General features: G+C 40.1%; 1 protein-coding gene across 9 annotated transcripts in view, besides 1 other annotated feature; it reads left to right on the forward strand.

Moving 5' to 3' along the window:
* CTNNA1 (catenin alpha 1) overlaps positions 1-21,280 on the forward strand; it is a 181,610-nt gene that overhangs the window by 93,784 nt on the left and 66,546 nt on the right. The gene's annotated exons all lie outside the window — the stretch shown is intronic.
* Positions 5,653-6,185: an enhancer, noted in NCBI's record as "H3K4me1 hESC enhancer chr5:138188550-138189082 (GRCh37/hg19 assembly coordinates)". NCBI's record gives its function as "activates a minimal SCP1, AML or CMV promoter by ChIP-STARR-seq in primed H9 embryonic stem cells {active_cell/tissue: H9 hESC(primed)}" and the evidence as "EXISTENCE:reporter gene assay evidence [ECO:0000049][PMID:30033119]".

The following is a 21,280-nucleotide window of genomic DNA, read 5'->3' on the forward strand; positions in this document are numbered from 1 at the left end:
TATTGGGTAGTACTTGTAGTTCAACAGCATGGATTTTCACCTTTTGGAGGGAAGAGGAGACTGACAACATTCCTTTTTAAAGCCGGCGTAGTCCCTCCCTCCCTGTCTCCTTCCCTGTCTCCCTCCCTCTGTTTTTTTAGAGATAGGGGTCTGGTTACATTGTCCAAGCTGGTCTCGAACTACTGGGCTCAAGTGATCCTCCTGCCTCAGCCTCCCAGAGTGCTGAGATTAGAGGCATGAGTGGCAGGCCGATGTCATAATTTCTTAGTCAAAGTATTAGTTGAAGAATTCAAATATAATGTCCCCTGTCCACTTTTTATTGTTGCTTTATTCGGGGGATATTTACTTTCCTTTTGAAAAGAAAATTCTTGAAGAGAAACCTGATGGTGGGATTTCAGGCACTGTGGCAGGAAGTAAGAAAGATGTGTTACGGTAGAGGTGGTCACCCTTAGATCAGTGTGGGCAGTTGCTTGTGGGGCATATTTTGGGGGAGGGGCATTTCTCTCTAAATTGATGTACTAGGAGATAGAGCATATTTTTGCTGCCCCAAGTAAACTTTTGATGCATTACAAAAAGGAAACATTTGGGCAACTCCCATTTCTGTTGCTTTGGAGCTTAATAGTCATTAAGTTTGTGTTTCTTTATGTGGTACTGAGTAAAAGCTGAAAGTAGCAGAGATTGTATAGGCCAGTATATCTTTTGTTAGTTTTGAACTTGTTGGGAGCACTTATAATTACCTGTGTTTCTAGAGATAAATCAAGTGGCACCTCTGTTTCTTTAAGTTCTTCTTTACCTAGCTGAGATTCAGGGGTCTTGCTTCTTGGGTAATAAATTCTACCTAATTTGAAGCTTTGCTTTCCTTCCAGAGATGTTTGAACTACATTTACTAATGCATATATGCTGTTGGCATAAAGATAAATTTGTTATTGAAGGGATTTTCTATGGAGAGACTGTTCTAGTCTTGACAGCTGCACTGAGCATGAAAAGTTACCTAAGCTTTCCCAAGTCTATGTTTCCTCAACTGGGAACTGGGGATGATAATGGTGCCTATGCACCCATCATGGTTGCAAGTGTATAGAAAAGAGTCATGTAAGGCACAACCACTGCTGTTAATACTAGTGTTACTATTAACATTGCTATAACTAATAATTTATATTTGAATTGTTCACACTTTAAGTCCTCTTTTTTTTGTTTGTTTGTTTTTTTAGCTCTTCTGATTTCCAGTAGTTTCATAGAGCCATTGCATTTATCATTCTCCTCCAAGAGCTTAGTTCTCTCTCTGCTCCCCCTTTTCTTCTCTCTTCTTTTACAGTCATGGTCAAATACATTTGGAGAATTTTCCCTTTTACATGTGTATTCTGATAATAATGTCTAAAGACTGTGTCCCTGTTGACTGTGCTGCATAGCTTATTTTATTGCTCTCCATTTGTCTTAACTGTCTTGCCTGAAGTTGGTAGCTTTATTCCTAGATTCATAATATGCTCTCTTTACTATTAAAATGTGCATTTTGATTGGGCCTGGCATACTTTTTTTTGAGATAGAGTCTCTCTCTGTCGCCCAGGCTGGAGTGCAGTGGCGTGAGCTTGGTTCACTGCAACCTCCACTTCCTGGGTTCAAGTGATTTCCTGCCTCAGCCTCCTGAGTAGCTGGGATTACAGGTATGCACCATCATACCCAGCTAATTTTTGTATTTTTAGTAGAGACAAGGTTTCACCATGTTGGTCAGACTGGTCTCGAACTCCTGACCTCATGATATGCCTGCCTCGGCCTCCCAAATTGCTGGGATTACAGGCGTGAGCCACCTTGCCCTGCCTGGCATACTTCTTTATTGTTAATTCTGAGTTATCTGGCATGGGGAAGCATGGCTCTGATCGTCAGTGTTCATTCTCTGAATTGAGTTTTGTATAGGCATCTCTGTATAAAATTTCTTGATTATTCTTTCCTACTGGTTTTGGCTTTATTTGGTGATTGCATTTGAAGTAGACTGTTTATTTGAATACTGTAACTATTCATGTAGTTTCATGTTCATTTTTTATAAGTTGTATTTCCTCTCTATTTTTTTTTAAAATTAGCACTAGAGGAAAAAGCTATTATGAATAGGGTTTTGTTGTTTTTGTTTTAACAAACCCACTATCTCATTGTTTAAGAGAATTTACACACCCTAGAACTGGTTGAATAATTAACCAAAAACAGTAAACCTAGGCATAGCCTATGTATTTAAAAAACAAAAACAAAAACAAAGACGGTAGGACAGGCAGTGTGAGGTCTAGAAGTTCTCTTTCCCTTTCATGTTATAACATTCTCTGTCTTTAGAGCTCTTAAACCTCTGAAGAGAAAAATCTTATTAGGAAAATCTTTATAGTTAAGCAGGGCTGACTTTGAAGTGAGGCACGTGCGCTGGCTGGTATCATCACTCCACTTCAGGAGATGTGAACAGTTGCCATCAGATGTTATCTATGAACTTACTCATTGGATTAATGGTTATTTGCTTCAGAAAACTAAAGAGTAATAGGAGAGCAATTCATTTGCTGGCTTTCATAGGGTTCTTGTTTTGAAAAAGGTCTGTTGTTGAACTGAGATCCTTACAGTTGCATTTCCTTATACCTGATAAAAAGTTTTTTTTTTTAATTCTTAAAATAGGCAGTGCATTTACATGGCTTAAAGGGGTCTAAAAGAGTATCTAATGAGCATTGCCTCTCATCCCTGTTACCTAGCCATTCAGTTTCTCTTCTTACAGTTTCTTGTGTATCTTCCAGAAATATTTTTTGTAGATACAATAAAACACACACACACACACACTCTCTCTCTTAAGATTTTTGTGTCTTTTGACTTATATGGAAAGTTATTATACTTGATTGTGAAATAGGTTTTACTATGATAATTTGCTGACCTACACTTATTTTGTTTTTTTCCTCTAAAACAATGTTTTCCTAATGTTTATTTACTTTGCTCTTATGGCTACCCAGTCTGATTCCACATGCCCTCTTTTGGCCAAACCATCCGCAATTTGTGCTCTCCCTGTCTTCTATCTTTGCCTTCCTTCTTCTTTCTTAGATATTTAATCCTGGATGCCTCTATTTCTATTCACTGTACTATGGCATCAGCTTATAGTCCCTTAATTGCAATGAACTCTATGAAGCTCACATGTCTAGAATATAATCACTTTGGCTTCTTTCATGTTTGAATTGTTTTTCAACCAAGTCAGATCGAGTGGCCTTAGTCTAGGTGCTCTGTTATTGACTGTTCTGTATAATGTTGAGGATACTTCTATTTAACAAATAATTAATACTAATAATAGTACATCTTACTGTATTATCTATGTAGCCATTAGGCATTTACCATCTTCTTTCAAATGTTTATCTTACGGTGTTAGATCTCTTTATACTTCATTAATTTATTTTTCACATCACAGATGGTTTAAAGTCTTCATTTACTATAACAACTTTGAAGGTTTTACTATTTCACTGTAGTCTCTTTCAGTTTGTGTATCCAACGACTCCTGTGGTCTTTAGCTCTGGATCCAGGGTCTTATCCAGAAAATCTTCATTTTGTTCTTTCTTAATTTTTACTGAGGCTCTCTGGTTTTAGAGCCCAAAGATGGATGCTTCTACAGATTTAAGTTTTACCTATTATCACTACAAAACAAACAGAAACCCTGTCTAATAAGTCTTTTGGTGATTGATATTAGTTTCTGCTTTCTAATATTAGATCTTTAACTTTAGCCATGCACAAACGTTCTGTTAGGGGAATATTGAGCATTACCTTAAGCAGTGGTAAAAACTGGCATGCTGTGTTATGTGAAGAAAGAAGATGATTCAGTAAACAAACAAAAGGCATTTATTGCCTTGTGCCAGCTGGCATCAGTATAGAAAACATGCAGTGTAATGTCACCCATGATATATTCCTGGGAAGTTGAGGTTCAGGATAATTCCACAAAATGGTTTCTGTGTAGAACATATCATGGATGACAGGGGGCAGAGAATGCACACTGCCTTTGTCGTTTTCATTGTTGGGCTCTTATCTCAACTGAGCCTCATTTCCTATCCTGATGGGCATTCTTGTGCCTGATCTCTGTCTGCAGGGCTTCTGGGGCCCTTGACTTCACATCCTCCAGAGGTTGTTCAGTTGATCATGGCAGCTAGTCATCATAGAAGGTGATGCTACTTTGCCTGTGGGTGAAGGTGGACTCTGACAGCATCTTTGAAGAATAGGTGATTTTAGTCTCTAAGCAGGAGAGGTGTACACGTGGTTAACATGGGTGCTACCTGGCTGGGCGCGGTGGCTCACACTTGTAATCCCAGCACTTTGGGAGGCCGAGGGGGGCAGATCACTTGAGGCCAGGAGTTTGAGACCAGCCTGGCCAACATGGTGAAACCCTGTCTCTTAAAAAAAATGCAAAAATTAGCTGGGCGCGGTGGCATACACCTGTAGTCCCAGCTACTTGGGAGGCTAAGGCTGGAGAATCGCTTGAACCTGGGAGGCGGAAGTTGCAGTGAGCCGAGATTGCGCCACTGCACTCCAGCCTGGGCACAGAGTATGACTTCGTCTCAAAATAAATAAATAAAGGCCAGGCATGGTGGCTCATGCCTGTAATCCCAGTACTATGGGAGGCCGAGGCAGGCGGATCACCTGTGGTCAGGAGTTCAAGACCAATCTGGCCAACATGGTGAAACCCCATCTCTACAAAAATACAAACAAAACAAAACAAAAAATTAGCCAGGCATGATGGCGCGTGCCTGTAATCCCAGCTACTCGGAAGGCTGAGGCAGGAGAATTGCTTGAACCTGGGAGGTGGAGGTTGCAGTGAGCCGAGATCGCAACATTACACTCCAGCCTGGGCAACAAGAGCGAAGCTCCATCTCAAAAAAATAAAAAATAAATAAATAAATAAATATATAACATGGGTGCTACCCAATTAGTAGTGCTATAGTTCTGGAGCAGGATTTTGGAGGTCTCTAATGGGCCTGGCGTTAACCCTTTAAGTACTTGAGTAATAGGGGTATGGAATATTTCAATACTTTTAACATTGCCTCAGTGTAACCCATGAAGATGAGCCTTGCCTGTGAGGCTGTGGGCTAATAGCCAAATACCTTCCTTCCATATTGACATTTTTTTTGCTTCCAGGCTCACCTCGAGGTACTTCCTTTCACCTCTTTCTCGGGCAGTGTTCTAGGATAGTGATTCCAGCTTTTTCTCTGTTATACATTATTTTCTCCACTGCCTTCATACTTTACATTTCTGCTTCTTTGGGGGGTGGGGGGGGTACACATTTGTCACTTGCTTTCCTTTCCAAGACCCAGGGAATCTCATGACTACTATAGTTCAGTTACAGTTTCTTCCTATATAGGTCATATTTCGTGTTCAATATACTTGTAAGAAATTAGACTTAACTTTAACATGTACAATTATACAAAAATGTGTAAAGGCAAAGGTAATCTTTTAAAATTTACATACACACATGCCTTTTCCATAAATGAAATTTATATACATGCTGATTCCCCTGATTTCCCTCCTTCCCTTCTCCTCCCTCCTTCTACCCGCCTCTCTCCACATTCCACATCCTCTCCTCCTAAGAACCAGTGTTACCAATCTGGAATCAATAACTGTATACTTTCCTTTGCCTATAGATTCCTGCTTCCCTTCCCTCTTTTCGCGCGCGCGCGCACACACACATTTTTGCATAGGTGTTTGCCTGATCAAAGTGGGATCATTGTTCACAAATGTTCACAAACCTGCATCATCTTATTCATCAGTAACTCATGGAAATCCTTGCAAGCCTTCTGGTTTACCTCTAATTTGTTCATTTTATTGCTGACTACACTATGTATTTGACCACTCCCCTCCCATGTGTTGTGTGTTTTTATTTCAGTGTGCTAACAGTAGGCATTATTTGTTTTAATTTTGCTGATCTGATGAGTGTGAAGCAGTTGTTCATTATTACTTTTTTTTTTTTGTCTCGAACTCCTGACCTGAAGTTATCCTCCCGCCTCGGCCTCCCAAAGTGCTTGGGATTATAGGCGTGAGCCACTGCACCCGGCCTGCTCATTATTAAAGTTGCATTTCCCTTGACCACTGTTGAATTCAAATAATCTTTTTAATGTACTTGTAAGTCATTGGATTTGCTTTTTTATGAAGTGTCTGTTTGTATTCTTTGCCCATTTTCTACTGTCATTTGTATGTTTTTCTTTGCCGGAGCTCTTGGTATATTATAGCTATTTGTCTTTTGACATTGCGTGTGTTTTCCCCCGCCTTTTTTAATCCTTCCTAGCCAGCGGAAGTATATACTTAAAAAAAAAAAAAGTATTGAAGTTTTGTTTTTGTTCTCAGGTAGATGTGTTTATCTTTTGTTTTATGGCTAGAGGATTTCCTGTTTTGGGTAAAAATGTCTTTCTCACTTAGATTACTTACATGCACATAAGTTTGGGACTATCAGGGTTAAATCACAGAAGCAGAAGAACTAGGAAAGATGTGTAAGGAATTTATTATAGGGATTTGACATTTTACAATCATGGGCACAGATTAAAGAGTTTATGTGAGGCTGTTGCTTTTATATTTCTTTTCTAAAAAGGGAGAGGACTTTTCAATTTGGTGTTTCTAGGGAAGAACCTTCACATTTCAAATGAGGGTTTGAAATAAATTGACATATTTCAAATACAGATTCCTTTGCAAAAATGTCATGGGTGATAATAAATTGCCTGACTTTGAGCTTTTGGGTTTAAAGAAAATTCTTTTCACATAGACCATTTTAATTGTTTAAGATCAAAATTCATTTGACCTGGGTGAATGGAAGAAGAAGCCCAATCATAGAGCTGGGTTAGTGAAGGTTTTTGGAGCCTTTCCTGCTATAGCATTCTATGATAAACCTTCCTTTCACAATTATCATTGATATTACATCTGCAAGACTTTCGTACTTGTAAGTAGTTTTAAGAATATTTGTTTTTATTTTTTTACCCACATCTGCAAAAATGTGTGTGGATATCTGCGAATTATTTATGGATATACAAGTTTCTGAATGCAAGCACTGAATGTGACTCTACACACATTCAACTGAGTGGTTCTTTTTCTAATCAAGTAAGAGCAGTCAGTACAAGACTCAAAATCACAGGGGGAGCCAAACTTAAAAAAAATCTTTGACAAGAAATGAGCTAAATAATGGCTTTCTCTTTGAAATAAATAGGGGCTATTTTGTCTTGATCTGGGGCCATTTGCCTCCATTTCCCCCCAACTGAACACATGTACTTGTGTCTGTACACACACTCTCTTACATAGGCTTAAGTGAAAAGTGTAAATGCTAGAGGAACTTAAGTGGGAGAAGGAAAGGAGGACAGAACAGTTCAACAGACTCCTCAGACTGCAATAGCGTAAAATATAGAAATTATGTGGTACAGTGAAAATAGAATAAAGGATTTAAAATGCAGAATTGATTTGACCCACTAAGCCTCTCTATTAGAAAAACATTTCCCAGTAAGCCTCTCTGTAGACATTTTTCAGTTCCTTCTTTGGATAATTTTTTCTCATGTTACATTGTTTCCCCTTATTCTCTGTAGACACTGTTCATTAAAAAGGGTAATGATGGCTTATGTAATAATGTCATCCTGTGGATGCACATCCAGTGTACTTCATACTCCACGGGACATACACTTTGAGTGATTCTCCTCCCAGCATTGGTAATGTATTTTCACTGAACTCACATCTTTTGAGTACCCATTATAACCATTGACAGATACTTTCCATTTCAGAGAGAAAAAAATATTGGGATTTAGAGTGTGAAGAGCAAAATTGGTCCACTCAAACACCAAACCCATGATTGGCTTTTTAACTGTCATTTTGTTTGTTTGTTTTTGTTTTGAGACGGAGTCTCACTCTGTCACCCAGGCTGGCGTGCAGTAGCGCGATCTCGGCTCACTGCAACCTCCGCCTCCCGGGTTCAAGCTATTCTTCTGCCTCAGCCTCCCGAGTAGCTGGGACTGCAGGTGCCTGCCAGCACGCCCAGCTAATTTTTGTATTTTTAGTAGAGACAGGGATTCACCATATTGGCCAGGCTGGTCTCGAACTCCTGATCTTGTGATCTGCCCACCTCAGCCTCCCAAAGTGCTGTGATTATAGGCGTGAGCCACCGCGCCCAGCCTCAACTGTCATGTTTTAAACCAAACAAGCTAACCAGCCAGCACTTGTTTTTTCTATGTATAGATATTAATATAATTGTGGATGCAGGAAACTGCAAAGTTACCAGCAGATGCCCTTTACTTTCAGTGAGAGAAAATTCAGTTCATACTGGGTTAAACTGGTTTTTGTTTTTTCCTGTTTCCTAAAAATTTGCATCTAGGTGAGTTTTCATCTTCCTTTTAAAAAGCTTAGAATGCTGTTTTACCAGTGGTTTTTAGTTGCTGGCACTTGCCAGGAGGTGTTTGGGGAGTCTACAATTTTGTACGGTGTTTGGTGGGTGAGACAAGGTCTTTACTTTGTCACTGTAAGCGTGTGTCTTTCCTTCTTATAAAAAGAGCTGGAAAAGCAGTAAGAGTTGATTTTTGGTAGGTACTTTCCATTTGGGTTGGCTAAGTAAAAATGGCAGTAGAATTTTACTGTCTGGGATTTGACAGTTTTTGTAGTTTGCCTAGGTAGAGAAATTTGAGTTGTTAGCTAGTCTTGATTGTAATGAAAATGTGAAAAGAAATGTATGTTATTACTTGAGACTTTGAAGAGCTCTTATTATTACAATTTTTGAAAGAATCTTTCTAAAGAAGGAGAAAGTATGTGACCCTGGAGAGGAAACTAGGGACATTATAGAGTTAATTTTGGGTAGAGAATGAAGGGATTCCAAAATCCTGAAACTTGTTGATACATATTTTTTGAAGTATAACCCTCAAGATGTCATTTCTTAGCTTTAATTTCTGTTAAGATGGGAAGTAGATAATGGCTTGGGGCTTTTATTAAAATTATATTGATAGCCATGCCACATACTTCTTAACAAAACCAGCAGTTCTGCTGAGATTTCCAACAGTGAAGCCATTAATGAACCTCTTGTATATGAACGTAACAAATTAAACCTTATAATAAGATACTCTTTTGTAGTGTGTGAGGGAGTAAAATTAACATTGTCACTACACTGTGATGGTGCATTTCTTTCTTTTCCTTTTTTTTAAAGAATAAAACAGACAGGGTCTCACTCTGTTACCTAGGCTGGAGTGTAGTGGCCGTGATCATAGCTTACCAAAGTTTTAAACTCCCAGGCTCAAGTGATCTCCCACCTCACCACCCAAGTAGCTGGGACTACAGGTGTGTGTTACCACACTCGGCTAATTTTTAAATTCTTTGTAATAATGGGGTCTCGTCGTGTTGCCCAGGCTGGTCTCAAACTCCTGGCCTCAAATGATCCTCCTGTGTTGGACTCCCAAAGGGCTGGTATTACAGACAGGAGCCACTGTGCCTGGCCTGCATTTCTGTTTAATATTTGCACCATGTTAGGGAGCTAGAAATTATTGTTTAAAGCTTTTAAGAGTACATGACTAAGATTGGCAGAAGGGTGGATTTTACTAGGGTAAATTGGACTCAAGCAAGAGTGTTTCCCTCTACTACAAGGTAGAAACTGGACCTTTCTGTGCCTAATTCATGAGATGAAATCCTTATTGAGATTTGAAAAGAAAGTTGTAAATATGGAAGTATTTTAGAGAGAAATTGTGTATCTTTTCAGAAAATAGTTTTAGACTAGAGATTAATAATGAACACTTGAAAGTTGTCATGGGAACTCCAAGGCTGTCTTTAGTACATTCTGGTGAATGAATGATTTCTCTCATGTTTTTCCCTCATGCCCCAGTCTGCTGCCCATTTCTCTTGGAGGGAGTCATGTTCTTTTTCACCTGACCATTGGTTCTTACCCTTTGCCTGCCCTTTAAATAAATTTCTTTCCTTTTTTCTTTATCTCCCTTAACAGCCTTTTTCTAATAGTGGAAGTTACAGATTTTTCTCTGCAAAACAAGAAAAATTGCCAGAATACATCTCTCTAAGTCACTGCTTTGGTCATCATATCCTAGCCGTCTTCAGAAATCTGGAGTGACTGCTCTTGTCAACCATGTTAAATCTAAGCTCCCTTCCTAGCCCCAGAGGCTTCTTGTTATTTGGTCCTACTTTGGCCAAGCCCAGAGTAACTTCACTATTAATGGGCATCATGTCTCAGATTACTGGCTCTGGCCTTCTCTGTACCCAGCCATATTGAAATCCTGCTGTTCCTTTTGTACCAAGCTCAAAGCTCATTTATCCACTGCATTCGTTAAAAAAAAAAATTTTTTTAAATAGAGATGGGGTCTTGCTATGCTGCCCAGGGTGGTCTCCAACTCCTGGCCTCAAGCAGTCCTCCCACCTCGGCCTCCCAAAGTACTGGCATTACAGATGTGAGCCTACCACTGCATTCTTAAGTGCCTTCCTATTTTCTAAATATCAGTAATATTAGTGGCACTGTCCATTTGTATTTAACCATCAAAGCATGAAGCATGGTACTGTTAATGCATAAAGGTTAAATGATTTATACAAGGTCCCATAGCTAGTAAGTAGAGGTGCTATACTTTGAACCCAGCCTGGCTCCAGAATTTGAGCCCTTAACCACTGTGCAACACTGTAAGGACTAGTTGAAATTAATAGTATATTAGATTGACAGTACCATAACTTACAATTGTAATTCCCTTTCAGACATTTTATTTTGAAAATTACGCATGTAGGGAAGCTGAAAGAATTATACAGTGAACCACCCACATATGAATCCACTTCTTAGATTCTATTAAATGTTTAAATATTTCCTTTGAGACATATTTAGCCATCCCTGTATCCATCTTACTGTTTTGATGCATTTCAAATTCAGTTGCAGACACTTGTACATTCACCTCTAAACACTGTCCCATATGTGTCATTAATTAGAGTTAAAAAAAATTTTTTTTTTTTTTTTGAGACAGGTTCTTGCTCTGTTGCCCAGGCTGAAATGCAGTGATGTTAACACTGCTCACTATAGCCTTGAACTCGTGGGCTCCAGCAGTCCTCCCACCTCAGCCTCCTGAGTAGCTAGCAGCACGGGTATGCACCACCATACCTGGTTAATTTTTTTATTTTTTATAGAGACAGGGTCTTGCCATGTTGCCCAGGCTGATCTTGAACTCCTGGGCTCGAGTGATCCTCCCACCTTGGCTTCCCAAAGTGCTAGGATTATAGGTATGAGCTCCTGCGCCTGTCCCAGTATTTTTAAAGGTAAGTTTTATACATACTGAAATGTACAAATCTTAAGTGTGCTATTGGTGAATTTCGATAAAGGCACATACCTTGTAACCCAAGCCTCTATCAAGATAAAATTATGTAATACCCTTTTAGTTGAATATTTGGCTTTTTTTTCTTTTTCTTTTTCTTTTTTTTTTTTTTTTTTTGAGACAGAGTCTTATTCTGTCACCCAGGCTGGAGTGCAGTGGCATGATCTTGGCTCACTGCAACCTCCGCCTCCCGCATTCAAGCAATTCTCCTGTCTCAGCCTCCCAAGTAGCTGGGATTACAGGCACCTGCCACCACGCCCAGCTAATTTTGTTTGTATTTTTAGTAGAGACAGGGTTTCACCACTTTGGCCATTGTTGGTCTGAACTCCTGACCTCAAGTGATCCGCCTGCCTCGGCCTCCCAGGGTGCTGGGATTACAGGCGTGAGCCACTGGGCCCAGCCTTTGGCTCTCTTGTAGTTCAAGTACATGAGTTCTACATGCCCCTCAGAATTAACCCCTGCTTTTCTGATTGTTCGTGAACTTTCATTGGTTCTTCAGTTTATTACATTGACTTGAGAACAGGGCCATCTCCAGCTTATTTGCCAGCTTACTTGGCATGGAGCATAGTATGATTGATGGGCTTGTTATTGTAGTCATCATTCTGAATTCCTAAATGGTATACATGTGTATTCTTCATTGATTAAAAATTCCTTTGATATGTCGTTTCCAGTCATTTTCATGAATTAAGCTGACCATATTCCTATTTGTTTTCCAATAGCACATGACTTGTTCAAGTGGCTTTGATGTTGAGGGAATGCTTCCCTTGAAACCTATCCTTTTTTTTCCGTGACTGCCATTTTACAGGTATTGTTTAAAGATTTCTCAGACTGGTTTAGGAGGAAAGGATGGTTCTGTGAGTCTCATCTCCCATCTACACCCATTCCCTTGGTGATCTCATCTAGGCTAGTGACTTTAAATACCTGTATTCACGGATGATGACTTCTAAATTTATGTTTCCAGCCTGGACCATTCCCCTGGACTTGTCATCTCTACTTGGACGACTAATAAACATTCTAACTTTAACATGTCATATATTGAATCTTAATTGTTCTGCATCCCCCACTTTCCTAATGTGTTCCACTTAATAGTCTTCTTAATCTTTTCTTGGTATTCAGTTAGTTAAAATGCTAGTTACAAATAACAGGGCTCAGAGCAGTGGCTCACGCCTGTAATCCCAGCACTTTAGGGTCGCTTGAGCCCAGGAGTTTGAGACCAGCCTGGGCAACATGGCAAAACCCCATCTCTACAATAAATACAAAAATTAGGCAGGTGTGGTGCCATGCACCTGTAGTCGCAGCTACTTGGGAGGCTGAGGTGGGAGAATCGCTTGAGCCCAGGAGGCAGAGGTTGCAGAAAGCCAAAACTGCAACTCTGCATTCCAGTCTGGGCAACAGAGCAAGACCCAGTCTCAACAACTAAACAAAAAACAGAAGTCTAACCTTTCATAAGTATATCTAATCCCCAGACTCCCTTCTCAATTTAAACTGAGGGCGGGGTGTGGTGTGCGTGTGCATGCGTGTGTGTGTGTGTTTAAAGATTGTGTGTGTGTGTTTAAAGATTGATATAAAATATTTGAAAGGTGAGATCTTAAAAATATTATTTTCCAATGTGGTACCTCTGATACTGAAATAATTGATGAATAAATCAAAATACTGATTATTGTTTTTGGAAAGCCAGTGATTTATGTTTTTACTGGAAATATATTTGTTTAATAATTCTAGTTATAAATTAGGGTAATGGATTTGGTGGGAGTGTCAGCTGAACTTCAGATAAACCGTTTATAGTTTGTCCTGTTCTTCATAATCTATCTGATTCAACACACATCTAATTCAAAGCAAGCACAAATTGAGTGTCTAAATGGTACCACTTATGCACTGTAATTTTTTTTGACACTTTAGGAATGCTGCATCAAAACTAAGAAAATTCCTGACCACCTGCTGTTAGATTTTCATGTGGAATAATAGACAAATCTTAGACTGGCAGGGTTTGGTTTTTTTTGTTTGTTTTGTTTTGTTTTGTTTTGATACGGAGTCTTGCTCTATCTCTGGAGTGCAATGACGCAGTCTCAGCTCGCTGCATCCTCTGCCGCCCGGGCTCAGGCGATTCTCCTGCCTCAACCTCCTGAGTAGCTGGGATTACAGGCACGTGCCACCATGCCCAGCTAGTTTTTATATTTTTAGTAGAGACGGGGTTTCACCGTGTTGCCCCGGCTGGTCTGGGCACCTGACCTCAGGTGATCCACCCTCCTAGGCCTCCCAAAGACTTGGCAGTTTTAATACGGTAATAAAATGGGCTCTAGTTTTTGGAAGTTGACAGCAAGTGTCAGAGAACAGTTTTGCACACACTGGCTTGCAGGGTCTATCAGGAGAGAAGATGGAGATGTGGTGATGTGGTATTGTCCCATTTGCCTGCAGGAGTGTGCCGAGGATGGTATATTCTTCTTCTCTTTCCCACTGCCATTTTTTTCCTCCTGGTAAATTACAAGGGAAAATAGAGAGGTAGCGCTGTCAAGGCACTCCTGAACACAATCTTTTTTTTTGGAGACGGAGTCTCACTGTGTCGCCCAGGCTGAAGTGCAGTGGCATGATCTCAGGTCACTGTAACCTTTCAGCTGTCAGGTTCAGGAGATTCTTCTGCCTCAGCCTCCTGAGTGGCTGGGATTACAGGCACGCACCACCATGCCTGGCTAATTTTTGTACTTTTAGTAGAGACGGGGTTTCACCATGTGGGCCAGGCTGGTCTCGAACTCCTGACCTCAGGTGATTTGCCCACTTCAGCCTCCCGAAGTGCTGGGATTACAGACGTCCACCAACACGCCTGGCTCTGAACGCACTTCTTAATGTGTGGGCCACATGGGCGATCCTTACATGAAATAGTTACTAGTGCCTAATGTTCGTGTCTTTTTTTTCTATTTGGATCAAAAACTGGCAGAACATACTTTCAAATGAAAGGTCCCAGCTTTCTTGTGGCCAATTCTATGGAATCCCAAGAAAACTGGAATGAAAGATTACTGCCTATTCTTAAAGAATTCTACATTTCTGAAATGTTTGCCATATCTTCTACGCCCCAATTCACATTCCCCACTCCCAATTAAAAACAGCAAGAGAGCAACTTTTATTACAGGTATGAAGGGTGTTGGGGACTTTATTTGGTCATAGAACTGGAGTGAGTGCTAATTATTAAAAGTAAAAAGGGTACGTCTTAAATGGCAGGTATTCTTGGTCTTTTAAAAGTGAAAGCAAAATGAATAAATGCTATTTTATACTTGAATCTGTACAAAGAGCAAAGAGAAGCGTGGACTGAAAAGATAGCTCAGATGAGTGACTATATTTTTTATTGTAATTTCCAAATCGTGTAGATTATTTTGTAGCTGATAGGCACTTAGTTTTGTGGATTTGGGAGAAGCAGGTAGTAAGCCCACGGTCAAGAGATGTGGGAAAGTAGAGAAAAGTTGTGGATGAAGGAGGAGATAAAAGGATTTTCCTTGTTGGATAAACTAGATTATTATCTTGGAAAGACAATGCCAAGAAAGTTGTTTTCTTGACTTGAAGAATCTGGGTCATAAGATCTGATAAGTTCTGATAAGATTGTATGTCTTTCATTGAGATAGGTTAATTCTGAGCAAGCTTTATATGGAATAGAGATTTCAGTAATATGGAGGATTACTCTCCAGCTATCACGAAACATACCCTCCTGCGTGCATTGAACTAATGGATTATGTTTGTGTTTTTAAATTCTCATACCTCTCCTGCCCACACCCCTCAATAATTCTGGCAAATCTGCCTTGGAACCAAACCTGCCACAATTGGAAGGGCTGCTTCCTAAATTAGATGTGATAGACTTAAAGTACATTTTTTTCTAAACAAAAAGGAACGTAATAGTGATCCTTAATTCTCAGCCATGTATTTTGTCCTAAAATATAATTGTCCAAAGCTGAGACATCAATGAGATTCTTATTTCTTTTGAAAAAATAGTATCCTTTTATGATAATGGATAGTACTTGTTGTCCTATATAATTTTACTGAACAAGGAAAAGACATCACTTGATTTTAAGTGACTACCTTATTCAGAAGGAATTTTTGAGTTAGGGATTTTAAACCTTTAGAAATTTAGCCTTGATTCATAAAGCCAAACGAGAGTAATATCATATCTAATATTATAGTACATTTTGCAAAGCAGGTTACTTGACGGTGAGATAATGTGGTAAGTTTTATATCAATATTAGATGTAAAAAGTGTAACAAGGCTGTTGAGGCTTACTGAAAGTTCTAGCTAATTATCAGTTCTCATTTTGAATACTGCACATTAACTTAGAGAAGAAAGACTAGAAAGTAGGGTTTTAGGAAGCAGCACATGGGTCTAACATGTCTTTAATGTGATTACATTCTCTATTTGATGGATCTGTAGCATTTCACTCTCTACACGTTGCTATTAAAAATAATAAAACAGTTTTGAGCATTTATTCTGTGCTAGCCTCAGGACTTTATGTGAATAAATCCCCCTGTGGTTGTTACTGCTATTAATTCTGTTTTACAGGTCAAAGGCCCAAGGTACATAAAGGTTGAAGGACTTGTCCAGGGTCAGAGGCTCAAGTGTGGATCAGGGCTCCTAACTGCTGTGCAACTTAACTTGCCCCTGTTGAAAATCTAGGTGGTTTTTTTTTAATGGCTTCTAGAAAGAGACAGTTAAATTTCTGACTTGTTCAGGCTAATGATTGCTTCATCTTTTTTTATATATATATATAATTTATTTTTTTTGAAACAGTGTCTTGCTCTGTTGCCCAGGCTGGAGGGTAGTGGTGTGATCACGGCTCACTGCAGCCTTGATTTCCTGGGCTCAGGTGATCTTCCTACTTCAGCCTCCCGGGTAGTTGGGACTACAGGCAAGTGTCACTACACCTGGCTAATTTTTGTGTATACATGTATTTTTTGTAGAGACAGAGTTTTGCCATGTTGCCCCTGCTGGTCTTGAACTCCTGGGCTCAAGCAGTCCTCCTGCCCCAGGCCCCCAAAGTGCTGGGATTCCAGGTGTGAGCCACTGCACCTAGCTGCTTTATCTTTTTAAATGTGTTGTTTCTTAGGAAATTAGTTATTGTGTTATAGATTCTTACCTAAGGAGAACACGTATGATTATCATCAGCATTTTACAGCCCAGTTGGGTTCTTCTTGCCTGCTGCACAGAAAAAGCCAGTACCCTGAGACAGCAGAATTTGCAGCAGAGAAAGAGTTTAATAATCGCAAGGCTGATTGAGGTGGACAAGATACCTTTCAAATCCACCTCCCAAAGAATTTGGAGACTAGGTTTTTAAAGATGGTTTGGTAAGCAGGGGCTAGGGAATGGGTACTGCTGATTGATTGGGCTGGGCATGAAATCATAGGAGTGTCGAAACTGTTTCTTGGTATGGATCACCAGTATAGGTGGCGTCAGTTGGTCCACTAGAATGCAGTCTGAAAAATATCTCAAACACCAGTCTTTTTTTTTAATTAGATGGGATCTTGCTCTGTTATCTAGGCTGGAGTGCAGTGGCACGATCTTGGCTTGCTGCAGCCTCCACTTCTGAGACTCAAGTGATCCTCCCACCTCAGCCTCCAGAGTAGCTGGGACTACAGGTGCACCACACCCAGCTACTTTTTGTATTTTTAGTAGAGACAGGGTTTTGCCATATTGGCCAGGCTGGTCTCAAAGTCTTGACCTCAAGTGGTCCTCCTGCCTTCCAGAGTGCTGGGATTACAGGCATGAGCCACTGCACCTGGCCTTTTCTTTTTTTTAGACAGAGTCTCACTGTGTTGCCCACCAGTCTTAAGTTTCACAGTAGTGATGTTGCTTATAGAAGCAATTGGGAAAGTTACAAATCTTATTATGACCATTGGCTAAGTGACTCCTGAGCAGTAAACAATTATAAAAAGCAAGCTAGGAAACAGTAATAGCCTACTGTTTTAACTATGCTTAGATCTTATCAGAATAATTTTAACCTTACCACCTTTCATTAATTTTAGAAAGGCAGTTTCAGACCACCAACGAGAAGAAGGGTAGTTTTTGGGAGGGGACTATGATCATCCTTGCTTTAAAGTTAAGCTGTAAACTAAATTCCTCAGCTAAATTATAAACTAAATCCTCCCATAGTTAGCTTAGCCTATGCACAGGAATGAACAAAGACAACTTGTGAGGTTAGAAACAAGATGGAATCAGTTATGTTCGATTGCTCTCACTTGTATAATTTTGCAAAGGTGGTTTCATGCACAACCAGAGATGTTGTATGAAATATGCTTCTGTTCATTCCTGATGTAGTGGAAGATGTGTTTTTTGTTTTTGTTTTTGTTTTTGTTTTTGTTTTTGGAGAGGGAGTCTTGCTCTGTTGCCCAGGCTGGAGTGCAGTGGCGCGATCTCGGCTCACTACAACCTCCGCCTTCCAGGTTCAAGCAGTTCTCTGCCTCAGCCTCCCGAGAAGCTGGGATTACAGGTGCTCGCCACCACACCCGGCTAATTTTTGTATTTTTAGTAGAGACGGGGTTTCACCATCTTGGCCAGGCTGGTCTTGAACTCCTGACCTCGTGATCCACCCGCCTCTGCCTCCCAAAGTGCTGGGATTACAGGCGTGAGCCACCGCTCCCGGCCGGAAGATGTTTTTAATTTTAAATTGTACTCCTCGTGTAGAAGATGTGTAATATAATGTAGTAGGTGTTTACTGGGTGTCCCTTGTGTGTTGGAGCCCTGTTGTCTGGTCCCAGGGATGTGATAAAGAGGAAACACCAGCTGCTGAAAGTGCTTGGTTCATTCTTGCAGAACTTCTAGGCTCCACCCACCCTTGGGTCACGGCAAAGTTTAGGTCATCACAGAGTGCGCAGCATGCTTGTGTAGGCTCCTTACCCTTAGCCTTTATCAAGGGTCCTGATGAAGAACAACTCTGCCTGTTCTCTAGAACCTCCTTAGAGGGACAGTCCAACGTTGTTCCTACAGCTGGCTCCATTTTATAAATAATTCACAGGTTTTTTCACTTAAGTGTCTCTTTTTCCAGCGAAACCAATGTGCTGCTTTATCCGATGAAAGCTGTTGGTTTTATTCTTTGTTTTGGCCACCAGGAAGATCAGGGCCAAATTGGTGTATAGTGTATACTAGAAATAATGATTTCATTGCTGTACTAGGCCTTTCTAACCCCTTTTTGTAATTTATCAAAACCCATTAGATCTGGTAAAATATGTGGACTCACATACAATATTGTATTATAATTTTAAGACGTTCTTGCATCCTGAAACGTATTCTGGACCCTTGGGGTTAAGAGTCCTGCTTTTGATCTTTTTATATCTTTATTTCACTATTCTGTACATAGTTTTATTCTAAGTTTCCTTGACTGTATAGAAGTAGGTTATGTGTAAATGATAAATAACATTGTTTTTAGAGGTTTTGGGTACTGAGCAGTTGCCCTCCATGTATTTGACAGCGAGGCAATGGGAAATGTTTTTGTTCATCACAAGAGGAAATTTTTTGGCCCTCACGATGATGAAATTGGTAGGCTAATTATAAATGGCTGCAGAGGCTGGGTGTGGTGGCGAACGCCTGTAATCCCAACTCTTTGTGGGCTGAGGCGAGTGGATCACTTGAGCCCAGGAATTCAAGACCAACCTGGGCAACACATGGTGAAACTCTGTCTCTACCAAAAATGCAAAAATTAGCCAGTCTCATAACCCGGTCTGGAAATAATTAATTAATTAAAAATGGCTGTAGAGTTTTGGTACAATGATTTTCCAGGAAAAGCAACCTGTAGATTCTGTTGTAACTCATTTATTTATTTATTTATTTATTTATTTATTTATTTATTTATTTATTTATTTATTTTGGTACAAATACTAGGGCCTAAAGATGGAAGTCTTATGCTCTAAACACAATTGTCAATAGATATTCAGTAAACTTAATGTTTATGATGTTTTTACACCTCTTCTGTGTGGTTTTTGGTAAAATCTTGATGAAAGCTATAAAAAGGCTTTGGCAATTGTCTCTAGGGCTGCAGTTTTCATATCTGTTTCCTAAGTGAGGCATGAACCATTGGCCTCTGCCCATCAGGGTTGCTGTTAGCAGATGCTTCTTCATGCTGGATTTCTATTGGGAGTTCCTGACTTGGAGGCATTGGGCAAGCCTTTGCTCTTCAGCCTCCATATATAGAGGGTAGTATTTTCATTTGTAGGCTTCGCAGGATAGGATGCTTGATTGTACTTGACTTTGGAGATTTCTTGCTCTTTACTGTCCTCTTCAGATAGTAGAAGGGGAGGTTTAAGATGTGTCCTTTAAGAGTATTCCCAAAACAAGTATTGAGGATAAAGGTCAAATTCATGCTAAGGAGAAATGTTTTTGCAGTAGCTATGACTTTCACCTCTTTTTCCCCTTCCCTCTTTGTAAAAGACAATTTGTAGTACATTTTGTCTCTCTAAGGGAGACATGACTACCCCAAATTTTTAAACAGACCAGGAAGAATCTATTGTATATTTGAGTGGGAACCTGAGAATGCTGTGGCATATAGACAAAATTAATTAAAATAACTGATAAATCAGATGTAGCTTTAAATGGGATTTTCAAAATTAAAATGTAGGAGAATTATGTTAATAAGCTCTGCTTTTAACTCTATCAAGTATAGGAATGTGTTCCTTTGTGCAATTTAAAACCACCATCACCTATGCCCTCTAGTGCTTATGGGATGAGTTTGACAATAGAATTGTGTTCTCTGTTTCCTGCTTCTGCCCTGGTTACTGCTGATATTCCTGGTGTGAGAGTTCTCTTAGTCTCTCTGATCCCAGCTTCCCTGGCATTGGGAAAAGGGTGGCTTTGCCTATTCCTCCATGTGGTCCTGCTATGGGGCTGTGGTGCTGGAGAAACAATAAGTGCATCTGGGCAAACACGGCAGACTACTGGCAGTCAGCTCCTGGAAGCCAGGGCAGTTTATGCCCTAGCACTGCCCAGGTGTAGAATCCTGTCCTGAGGATGTTTATCTGTAGCAAGCCAAGGACATTATAGTTGACCCTTGAGCAACATGGGTATGAATTGTTAAGGTCTACTTATATGTGGATTTCCTCCCACCTGTGATACTTATATGTGGATTTCCTCCCACCTGTGATAACCCTGAGACAGTAAGACTGACTCCTTTTCTTTCTCTTCCTTCTCGGCCTACTCAATGTGAAGACAACAAGAAGGATGAAGGCCTTTATGGTGATCCAGTTCCACTTAATGATAAATGTATTTTCTCTTATGATTTTCTTTCTTTCTTTTTTTTTTTTTCTTTTTTTTTAAGATGGAGTCTCACTCTGTCACCCAGACTGGAGTGCAGTGGCATGATCTCAGCTCACTGCAACCTCCACCTCCGGGTTCAAGCAATCCTCCTGCCTCAGCCTCCCGAGTAGCTGGGATTACAGGCGCATACCAGGTTGCCTGGCTAATTTTTGTGTTTTTAGTAGAGACAGGGTTTCGCCTTATTGGCCAGACTGGTCTCAAACTCTTGACCGCAGGTGATCCACCCACCTCAGCCTCCCAAAGTACTGGGATTACTGGCGTGAGCCACCATGCCCCACCATGATTTTCTTAATAACATTTTCTTTTCTCCAGCTTATTTTTGTAAGAATACCATATATCATACATATAACATATAAAATATGTATTATTTTGACTGACGGTATTAAATATGTGTTATCTAATATGGACTGACCGTTTATGTTATCAGTAATGCTTCTAGTCAGCAGTAGCTATTAATAAAAATTTTTGGGAAGTCAAAAGTTATGCAGATTTTCGACTGTGTGGAGCAGGGGGTTGGCACCCCTAACCCCAGTGTTGTTCAAGGGTCAATTGTAGTTTAAAATCTTCCCTTCCTTTTCCCATCTGTACTCACTGAGTCGTCATCCAGGGTGGAGGAGGTCATGTAGGGATCTTCATGGTCCTAGTGTGTAAGCACCTGTGGGACCTCCCTCCTAGGAGTGGCATGGAAGGTGCTGCTGGGATGGACATCAACCAAC

Source organism: Homo sapiens, chromosome 5 (assembly GCF_000001405.40).
Source record: "Homo sapiens chromosome 5, GRCh38.p14 Primary Assembly".
In the NCBI taxonomy this organism is placed as follows: domain Eukaryota; kingdom Metazoa; phylum Chordata; class Mammalia; order Primates; family Hominidae; genus Homo; species Homo sapiens.